Raw genomic sequence first — 12,086 nt, 5'->3', positions numbered from 1 at the left:
CAGCCTAGGCAACAAAGTGAGACCCCGTCTCTACAAAAAACACAAAAATTAGTTGGGCGTGTTAGCACATGCCTATGGTCCTAGCTACTCGAGAGGCTGAGGTGGGAGGATAGCCTGAGCCTGGGAGACAGAGGTTGTAGTGAGCTGAAATCATGCCACTCACTCCACTGGGCAACAGAGCCAGACCCCCTCTCAACAAACAAACAAACAAACCAACAAAGTTGCCAGCCATGATGGGACAGGCGGTCAGACACGCCTTGTTATGTCCCCTCTTTTTTGGAGGTTAAACAAAACAACTGACCAGCATTAATGTTAAAATAGAGATCGTAAGACTGACAGAACAGACTGTGGCAAGAAGATATTAAATTATAAACAAGACCTTAGGCCATGCCAGGCAAAGGTGAAGTCAGACACCACTACATTTAAAGAACAGACTATGTTCTAACTGCCACAGAGCTTTTTTCTTTTTCTCTAGCAGCTATACAAGCACTAGCCTCCAGATAAGCATTATTAAAACTATCAGTAGCTCCACCAGATGCTGACTAACTAACCCCTGGTCACTGTTCCACCAGCCATCACTGCAGCTCTGACTGGACAAGAGATTGATTTCAGTCAGTGATCTCCTGATAAGAAGACCACTGACCATGAACTTGGTCCTGGTTGGTTTACAGGGACCGTGCACTTGAATGCCTTCATGTCCTGAAATAACCTTTTGACATATAGAACCTGATTATATACATTTAAATGTTAAGTCTCCACCCAAAGTAAACATGAGTTGAATGTTATATGTGTGTTTGTTCAATAGGCATGCCTCAGGACCAACTTCATGAATATTCATAGCTCCTCGTGTGACCTGTTGAATATGTGTGTTTAGTCAATGGTTCAGCATAAAGCTTCTACTCCAACCCCTCCTTCTTTGAAGCGCCTGTCTCTGGTCTTGGCCTAAGGCACATTTCCCAGCCTGTGGGATGGCCAGCCACCTTGCAGGCTGTAATTCTTTCTTTTCTTTTCTTTTCTTTTTTAAATTATACTTTAAGTTCTGGGGTACATGTGTGGAACGTGCAGGTTTGTTACATAGGTATACATGTGCCATGGTGGTTTGCTGTACCCATCAACCCGTCATCTACATTAGGTATTTCTCCTAATGCTATCCCTCCCCTAGTCCCCTACACCCCAACAGGCCCCAGTGTGTGATGTTCCCCTCCCTGTGTCCATGTGTTCTCATTGTTCAGCTCCCACTTATGAGTGAGAACATACAGTGTTTGGTTTTCTGTTCTTGTGTTTGTTTGCTGAGAATGATGGTTTCCAGCTTCATTCATGTCCCTGCAAAGGACATGAACTCATCCTTTTTTATGGCTGCATAGTATTACATGGTGTATATGTGCCACATTTTCTTTATCCAGTCTATCATTGATGAGCATTTGGGTTGGTTCCAAGTCTTTGCTATTGTGAACAGTGCTGCAATGAACATATGTGTGCATGTGTCTTTATAGTAGAATGATTTGTAATCCTGTGGGTATATACCCAGTAATGGAATTGCTGGGTCAAATGGTATTTCTGGTTCTAGATCCTTGAGGAATTGCCACACTGTCTTCCACAAGTTGAACTAATTTACACTCCCACCAACAGTGTAAAAGCGTTCCTATTTCTCCACATCCTCTCCAGCACCTGTTGTTTCCTGACTTTTAATGATTGCCATTCTAACTGGCATGAGATGGTATCTCATTGTGGTTTTGATTTGCATTTCTCTAATGACCAGTGATGATGAGCTTTTTTTCATATGTTTGTTGGCTGCATAAATTATCTTCTTTTGAAAAGTGTCTGTTCACATCCTTCACCCACTTTTTGATGGGGTTGTTTTTTTTTTTCTTGTAAATTTGTTTAAGTTCTTTGTAGATTCCGGATATTAGCAGGCTGTAATTCTTTACAAGAAATAGTCTCCTTTCTAAATTATAAATTACATGTTTTTTTAAGTTAACAAAACACATGTGTGTCTTAAAATTTTTCCCACCGGTGACAGAGATCCTAGTGATAGAGAAAAAGGCTTTATTCATCTGTTTAAAAGGTCCCTGTAAATAGTAGGCCCTAAACAGAAATTACTCATGATAGACACAGGTGACATTGGTAGGGCTTGGCCAGTTCAGTCAGTTGATAACTAAGATGGTCAAGTTTATGAAACAGAAAGATCACAAACTAGCAAGTGTTGGAAAACTGCTGGTAAGACGGGGAGAATAATTTTGTTTCAAGTTAAGAAAAACTGACACTTGTGGTTTCCGTGTGAGAGGAGTCAGTACTCAGTTTGAGCAACTTCTGCAAAAAAAAAAAAAAAGGTACCCTCCTGGGTTGAATCCAATTGAGGCAAGCCAACTGATAAAAAATACAAGCATTGTGTGGAAAGGAGATACTAAAAAACACTCTTTTGTGAAAAAGATACAAACTTCAATCAAGATAAATAAAACCATTGGAATAAGCTCTTCTTATATTAAAGAAGTAAAGTCTTAAGATAGTCTTTTATGGTTTATTATTTTATTTCTAATTAAGTTTTATTGTAATAAAACTTTATTTCTAAATAAAATCTTAATTAGAAATTAATGCTTAGCAAGCTTACTAAAGTACACTTTTTTTCCTCCTTTTTGAGACAGGGTCTTGCTCAGTTTCCCAAGCTGGAGTGCAATGGTATGAACATAGCTCACTGCAGCCTCAACCTCCCAGGCTCAAACAATCCTCCCACTCCGGCCTCCTGAGTAGCTGGGACCATAGGCGTGTGCCACCCCACCTGGCTAATTAAAATTTTTTTTTTTTTTTATATAGAGACAGGAGCCTCACTAAGTTGCCCAGGCTGGTTTCAAACTCCTGGGCTCAAGCAGTCCTACCACCTCAGCCTACCAAAGTGTTGGAATTACAGATATCAGCCACCACACCCAGCTAAAGTACACCTTTAATGTTAGGCAGACAACAGTTTCTATGAAGAAAAAGGGTGAGAGAGCTGCATGTGGTGGCTCATGCCTGTAATCCCAGCTACTGGGGAGGCTGAAGTGGGAGGGTTGCTGGAGTCCAGGAATTTGAGGTTGCAGTGAGCTATGATAGTGCCACTGCACTCCAGCCTGGGCAACAGAGTGAGACCTTGTCTTTAAAAAAATAAAAAGAAAAAGGGTGAACTTGGGAAGGAGAGTAGGATAGAGGAGATAGAAAAAAGAGATTAAAAGTATGCATTGTCTCTACTCTCTTACCTTGGGAGGTAAGGAAAAAAAACATGTCTGTTGGGGTCTGACAATACATTATCACCATTTACATTTTAGTTGTCCCTGAGTTCTGGTGGAAAGGCAAAGTTATCCTTAATGGGGGGATTACTTCTAAATTGCAGGCTGTAATTTTACAACAGTTCTCCCCTGTAGACTCATGTGCCTGCCAGAAAAGTAGGGCTTCCGTGAGGTATTCACCCAATTGCCCTTCTCTGGAATCTGGGGCCCACCTTTGGGAACTACATGTCTCCTGGCATCAATTCATCCTCAACAGGTAGCTACCCTCCCACCCCTGCAGCCCACACTCTTTCCTGTACTTTTCTTGATCTAATTGCCTGGACCCTCCCTGCCCTAGATAACTGGTGTCTCTTAGAGTGTCTCCAAATGTAAGAAACACACCTAGGCAGACAATTTTAAAGTAAGGGAGGTTTAGATTAGATTTTTAAAAAACAAGTATTTTTTAAAATTAATATTTGAATTTTTTGATTTAATATTAATTTCTCCTTGATCTCTGCAAATCATGAAATGCATGAAGGTAACTTCAACCAAGCCAGTGTGATGAGAAACTGACATCTTTACCAGAGAAGAAAATGTTGAAAGTAGTTTCAGGGCTGTCATATACCGAGTCATATCTTTTTAACAAAAATATTGTAATTATATTGTGAGAGTCATTGTATTTTATCTCATTTCATAATCTTATTGCTCTTACTCTCCCTCTCATCTCCAAAATCTCTCAAAAAATAACAAGTACTTTCATTGAATCATTACTATATGCCAGAAGCAATGTAACTTCTTCACATGCATTGACTCATTAAATAATCATAAAAATCCTATGAGATAATAACCCTTTTCTTTCCAATTTATGGATGATAGAGGCTGGGTGTGGTGGCTCACACCTGTAATCCCAGCACTTTGGGAGTCCGAGGTGGGAGGATCACTTGAGCTCAGGAGTTTGAGACCAGCCTGGGCAAAATAGTGAGACCCTGTCTCTACAAAAAAAAATGTTTTAAAAATTAGCCAGACGTGGTGGTGCACACCTATAGTCCCAGCTACCCAGGAGGCTGAGGTGGGAGGGTCATTTGAACCCAGGAGTTTGAGGCTGCAGTGAGCTGTGATTGCCCTGCTGCACTCCAGCCTAGGTGACAGAGTAAGACTCTGTCAAAAAAAAAAAAAAAAATATATATATATATATATATATATATATATTTATATATATGTGTGGTATAGTTATATATTATATATAAATATATATAGAGAGAGATGATGGAAATAAGGCTCAGAGATGTTAACATTCCCAATAATAGACAAACTAGTAAGAGGAGAACAGGGATTAGATCCCAGAGGGTTATGCTGCTGGGCCCAAACACCCAACCACTAACTTCAACTGTCTCTGCAGATTTTTGATGAGTTACACTGCAGAAATGGTCAGCCTACTTCTCATCTTTGTTCTGATTCATGCTGCTTATAAACATGGCTGGCAACCTAAGGCTTCATACACATGTCCTCTTCACTCCTGCCCTGTGTCCTAATTTCCTGTCATCTGTGTTCCTTATGTTCTCCTTGAGGTCCTCTCATGTGATGCCATAGTACTCTGAGCACTATGTCCAGGGAAGCTTACTTCTCAGCTGGTTGGTGGATGCACTGCTGATCATCCTCCCTGTCTAGATATCTGAATCTTTAGGAAATCTCATGTCAACCAGAGATAGAGGAAAATGGGAAGACTGGGTCTCCTGGATCTGATTATTCCCTGTAGATACTGGAAAAGGGACTAGCCTTCTAAGAAGAGCCACTTTGGATTTCTTATGAAGCTGTGGCCCTCAAAATTCTTGAACACTACCGTAAGAAATAGATTTCTGTTGCAACTTACAACACATATATTTACATACAGAGAATTGAAAATAACATGTCATAAAACAACACTTACTTACTATGTAGAATGTGCTCTGAAAGTTTCTATTCTGTTCTATTCTTTCTTTAAAAAAAATACTGGTCGAAATCCAGTAAATTGACTTCACAATTCACTGATGAGTCATGATTGGCAGCTTAAAAACACCATCATAGGCCAGGTGCGGTGGTTCATGCCTGTAATCCCAGTACTTTGGGAGGCCAAGGCAGGAGGATCACCTGAGGTCAGGAGTTCGAGACCAGCCTGGCCAACATGGTGAAACCCCATCTCTACAAAAAATACAAAAATTAGCCAGGTGTAGTGGCACATGCCTGTAATCCCAGCTACTCGGGAGGCTGAGGCAGCAGAATCACTTGAACCTGGGTGGGGAAGGTTGCAGTGAGCCAAGACTGTGCCACTGCACTCCAGCCTAGGCAACAGAGTGAGACTCTGTCTCAAACAAACCAAAAAAAAAAAAAAAAAAGAAACCCAAAAAACACAGCCATAAATAATTATTTCTAACTCAACGTATGATGGTTTTTCATGAATAATAGATTTAGCGCAAAATATGAATTCATTTATTACATTTGAAAAGCTTTTTCAAATGATTAGTGCTTTCCTCTGTTCCATGTACTTGCTAGAGATCAGCATGGCCATCAGGGGGAGCAGCACGTGGGAAAGATGTTAATTAAGATTAGACATAAAGGCTGAGGTTGTGTTCTTATGTGAACACGTGATTATGACCTTTACTTACATGTCAGCTAAGGTTACCCCTACAGTACTGCTATAATCCTTTAAAACATGAAGATTTGGTTCCTTACATCTTGGGGTCAATAGGAACAATTTGCATATGGTCTGGGTTTTGGAGAATTGGTGTTTATTGGGTTAGGTATTATAATAGTATTGTGGTTATGGGTGATATTTAATGATGTCTGTAATTTAACTTAAAGATGAGGACAGGCAGGTAGAGAAGCAGCACAATAGCTTAGCAAGTGGTGGCTGCTGCAGATGCCGTGTCATCCCTCTCCTGCTTCACCAGTCCGCTCTTAACTAAAACTCCAGTTTCTGGGGATGGGTAAGACAGGGGAGGGGAGAAACTTCCACTGACTCACTGAGAGTTAGATGTCCAAAAAGCTGGTGTCAACGGTTCTGGTTCCAGGATAGATGGAGTAAGCGCACTGCTCCCTGTCTCTCCTATGGTGTGCAGCTATAAAATCTGAAAAGAACACTGGAACTAGCTCTCTGAGGACTCTGAAAAGTAAATAGAATCAGGCAGGTTGGGAACAAAGACTAGAATTTGAAGTAACATGAGACTGGCAGTGAGTTTACTTTTTTTTTGTTTTTGAGACAGAGTCTCACTCTGTTGCCCAGGCTGGAGTGCAATGGCACCATCTCAGCTCATTGCAACCTCTGCCTCCCAGGTTCAAGTAATTCTCATGTCTCAGCCTCAGCCTCCCAAGCAGCTGAGATTACAGGTGTGCACCACCATGCCCAGCTAATTGTTGTTGTTGTTATATTTTTAGTAGAGACAAGGTTTTGTCACGTTGGCCAGGCTGGTCTCGAACTCCCGGCCTCAAGTGATCCACCCACCTCAGCCTTCCAAAGTGCTGGGATTATAGTCGTGAGCCACGGCACTTGGATGAGTTTACCTTTTTTTAAAAGAAAAAATTTTAATATTACCCAGCCTAGATTCAAGGCTGCCTGCAATCTGGAATTGAACATCAGTGTGGCCAGAGAGAGAGAGAGCTCCACGAGAAGCCTCTAATTCAAGTTTGATGAGCAGGAAACAGGTTAGACAAAGGCAGAATCTGTAAAAGAAAACATTCGTCAATTAGACTCCATTACACTTAAAACTTTTGCTCTGTAAAGACATTACTAAGAGAATGGAAAGACAAAGTTCAAACAGTGAAAAATTTTATAAATCACACATTCAACAAAGGCTTTATATTCAGAAAATTGTAAAAACAAATAACCCAATTCCAAAACACGAGCAAGGCCGGGCGCAGTGGCTCACACCTGTAATCCCAGCACTTCGGGAGGCTGAGGCGGGCAGATCACTTGAGGTATGGAGTTCGAGACCAGCCTGGCCAACATGGCGAAACCCCGTCTCTACTAAAAATACAAAAATTAGCCAGGTGTGGTGGTATGCGCGTGTAATCCCAGCTATTTAAGAGGAAGAGGCAGGAGAATCGCTTGAACCCAGCACGCGGATGCTGCAGTGAGCCTAGATCGTGCCACTGCACTCCAGCCTGGGTGACGGAGAGAGACTCTAATAACAACAACAACAAACCATGAGCAAAAGACTTGAACAGATCTACTTAAGAGGATATGCAGAAGACAAATAAGCACATGAAAAATGTCCATCTTTAGCCCTTAGGGAAATGCAAATTAGAACCACAATGAGGTATGACTATACACATATGAGAATGGCTGAAATAAAAAAAAATAGTAATAATACCAAGTGCTGGCAAAGAGGTGGGGCAATTAAAACTCTCAAACATTGCTAGTGAGAATGTAACATAGTATCCCCACTCTGGGTTTTCAGTTTCTTATACAGTTAAGCAGTTACCATATGACACGGAAACACTGCTAATGGGTATATGGGTATATACCCTAGAAGAATACAACTATGTTCACATAAAAACTTACACATGAATGTTTATATCTGTTCCATTTATAATTGCCCCAAACTGGAAACAGGCCAACTATCTTTCAGTGGGTGAATGGAAAAACTGTGTGGCGTTTGTATTTTGGAATACCAGTTCTGCGATACCTTGGAGAGATCTCAAAGGCATTACTCTGTGTAAAAGATACCAGTCTTGGCTGGGCATAGTGGCTCACACCTGTAATCCCAGCACTTTGGGAGGCTGAGGAGGGTGGATCACCTGAGGTCAGGAGTTCAAGACCAGCCTGACCAACATGGTTAAACCTCGTCTCTACAAAAATACAAAAATTAGCCGGGCATGTTGGTGGGTGCCTGAAATCCCAGCTACTCGGGAGGCTGAGGTGGGAGAACCGCTTGAACTCGGGAGGCAGAGGTTGTAGTGAGCCGAGATTGTGCCACTGCACTACAGCCTGGATGACACAGCAAGACTCCATCTCAAAAAAAAAGAAAAAAAGAAAAAAAAGATGCCAGTCTTAATAGGCTACATATTATATGATTGCATTTATAGCACATTCTCAAAAAGACAAACTTATAGTGACAGAGACCAATTCAGTGGTTTCCAGGAGTTACAGGTGCGAGGAGAGTGTGATTACACAGGGATTCTGTGAGAAAATTTTTTAGGGGCAATGGAACTATTGTATCCTGATTGTGATGGTGGTTACATGAATCTATACATGTATTAAAATTCATGGAACTGTATACCAAAAATATGAGTTTTATTGTATGTTGATTGAAAAATCAAAGTTTTAAAAGATGAGTCAAAATTGCTAAAATGTTAACAATTTTTAAATATAGAAAATGGGTAAAAGAATATTCATTGTACTCCTGCCTCTACTTTTCTGTATGTTTGAAATTTTTCAAAATGAAAAGTTAATTTTAAAAAGTTTAGTCAGAATAGTAGTTTACAGCACAGCGTGACACATCAGACAGCTTCGATTTTTTTATTATTTAGGTTTAAGTTCTGCCTCTGCACCTAACTAGTTATACTAGCAAGTTAGTAAACCATCTAAGACCTCAGTTTCTGAGTCTGTCAAATGGGGATAGCAATAGTATCTACCTCTTATGGCTTTTGTAAGGATTGAGTGACTAAATAGTTACTACATACATATAGTAGGTACTGATACATGTTATCCGTTATTGTTTTATTATCTTCAACTGTTGATATAGATTGGAGGTTTAAACATTAATTCTTTGACAGATTTAATAAAAGTCTGTCTGATTCTTATTCTAGAACATAAGTCAAATATGACATAGAACATCACTGTTTTTCCACTATTATAGAAATTCTTTACTTGATTTCCTTCCAGTCTCAGAAAAAGGAAAAGTTGATTAAGAAAGTACTTGGATACTACGTTGGGAATTGTTGTTTTCTAAGATCATTATTAGTACGCTAGTATTCTAGAAAATCTTCAAGAGAAGAGAAGGTAGATTAAAATTAGTTTTAATATAATTTTAATTAATTCATTAAGTAATTTTTGAGATGAAATCTTGCTCTGTCACCCAAGCTAGAATGCAGTGGCACAATCTTGGCTCCCTGCAACCTCTGCCTCCCAGGTTTAGGCACATCCAACCTCAGCCTCCTGGGTAACTGGGGCCACAGGCACTTGCCACCACGCCTGGCTAATTTTTGCATTCTTTGTAGAGATGGGTTTTGCCGTGTAGCCCAGGCTGGTATTAAACTCCTGGGCTCAAGTGATCCACCTGCCTCAGCTACCCAAAGTTCTGAGATTACAGGCATGAGCCACCATGCCCTGCCTTAACATAATTTTTAACAAGGATAAACAATATACACATATTCTAATAGCTCCTGAATATTATGTAATCATTCTGTTTTTTATAAGAAAAAAATTATTTATACTCATCAAACTGAAGCCTATGAATCCATTATTGGTCCTGTGCAAGTTTCTAGATCAGATTAGTAAAGTAATGGTTTATGAATGACTAGAAAAGAAAGCTGTGATCATCAGAAACCAGCACAGATTAACAAAGAGCAAGTTCATTGTATTAATTTCATTCCCTTCTTTGAGGGAGTTACTACCTGGAAAGTGTGGACTAGTTCAAGGCATTTTGTGAAAGTCTTATGATATTCTTTTGGATATAATTGAAAAATATAGGCTGGTGCGGTGGCTTACGCCTGTAATCCCAGCACTTTGGGAGGGCAAGACGAGAGGATCACCTGAGGTCAGGAGTTTGAGACCAGCCTGACCAACATGGTGAAACCTCATCTCTACTAAAAATACAAAAATTAGCCAGGCATGGTGCCATGTGCCTGTAAGTCCCAGCTACTCAGGAGGCTGAGGTAGGAAAATTGCTTGAGCCTGGGAAGCGGAGGTTTCAGTGAGCTGAGACCACATCACTGCACTCCAGCCTGGACAACAGAGCCAGACTCTGTCTCCAAAAAAAAAAAAAAAAGAAAAATTGAAAAATATAGACTAAATGAAATATAAGATCACGAATAAATGATGGTTCCCCAAACCAAGAGGGTTTCTTGGTTTTTCCCTTTGTCCTCCCCTATTCAACAATTTGATGATTTAATTAATTACACAGGAAGACACGCTTATAAAAATATCGGAAGATTCCATGAAGACCAAAGGACTGTGCACAGTTGGATATCAGAAGCAGTTTTAAATTAATTCTTCGTAACTGAAGGGTGAGATGAAGCAAGCAAAATAAAATTAATGAGAATAATCATTAAGATTTTGTTCTTATGTCCAGAAAATCAACTATATACATGTAATATGTAGTTTAACTACAATATATGTAAGTAAGACTTTGCAACTTTAGCTAAATATGAGTGTATTAGCTTCTTATTTCTGCTGTAACAAATAACCACACCCTTAGTGGCTTAAAGGAACATAAATTTATTCTCTGACAGTCCTGGAGGTCAGAGGCTAAATGGGCCAGCAGGGCTGCGTTCCCTCTGGAGGCTCTGGGGAGAACTGGTTTCCTTGCCTTTTCCAAATTCTAGAGACTGCTCACATTCCTTGGCCCATGGTCCTGCATTACTTCAGTGACCACTTCGATGGTCACATGTCCTTCTCTGACTCTGACCTTCTTGCCTCCTTCTTGTAAGAATCCTTGTGATTATATTGACCCACCTAGATAATCCAGGATAATTTCCCCTTCTCAAGATACTTGATTTAACCACATCTGCGAGGTCTTTTTTTGCCATGTAAGTCAACATATTCACAGGCTCTAGGGATTAAGACGTGGACCTTAATAATGGTCCTTTGGGGAACCATTATTCAGCCTACTATAGTGAGTCAATAGTGTGATTGCCATGAAAGTTGTGGAATCATTAAATGCATTGATATTTTCAATGAAATATTATTTTGATAATATGTAATAAATAATATAGCAAACAATAAATATATTTATATAACATATATTTATAATAAATACAACATATTTATATAACATAATATTTTTATAACATATAGTATATATTATATGTAATAAATATTACATATACAAATACAGTACTCAAATTATATATATATATAAATATAATACTCAAATAAGAGATTATAATTTCACTCTACCCTTCCTTATCAGAGAATACTGAGATAATTATCTTCAGCTCTGGGCACTACACTTTAAATTATAATCATACTGAGATACAATCAGAGAAATATTATAAAAGGACATAAGAAGGTGAAAAGAAAGGAAGTTGAGATGTGCACTGGAGAAAAAAGTTGCGTAAGTGTATGATAGCTACCTTCTTTCTTTGAAGGGTGAGCATATGGAATAAACATTAGCTTTGTTGTGACAAATTTTGATGGGGGTAAATCCGGAATTGCTGGAAACAGCAGGCAGATGATTTCAGCGGAATGGAAGAAAGTGCCGTCCAACCTGCAATGGGTTCTCTTGACAGCTATTGAGTTCTCTGTCACTGGAGACTCTGCACAGACTCCTTGTGATTTATTTTTAAAAAGTGAAAACACATGGAGAGTACTAAGCCAGATCAAGGTCAATACCCCTCCCACATTTCAGGTTTTGTGATTCTAATGACTAAATGTTCCTGCTTCAGGGAAGGCAAGAGAAACAACCAGAGCAGCAGAGCCAGGCAGCAGATAAGGCCTTTGTAATGGGCTGAATGGGCTGTTTTGACGACTGACAGTTTTACGATGGAATAACTTCCTCTGTTTGTCCTATAATGAGTGTTTGTACCTTGAGTTTGCAGCAAACTCCTTGCCCTGTGAACATTTCCAGATGGATTTCAAAGAAAGGAAATGGTTTTGCTTAAGTGACAAACTAACAGAATTCCTGCTGATTAATTTTTTTTCCTTATTGT

The sequence above is a fragment of the Homo sapiens genome, chromosome 12, assembly GCF_000001405.40.
Source record: "Homo sapiens chromosome 12, GRCh38.p14 Primary Assembly".
Taxonomy (NCBI): Eukaryota; Metazoa; Chordata; class Mammalia; order Primates; family Hominidae; genus Homo; species Homo sapiens.
This window is presented reverse-complemented; position numbering follows the sequence as displayed.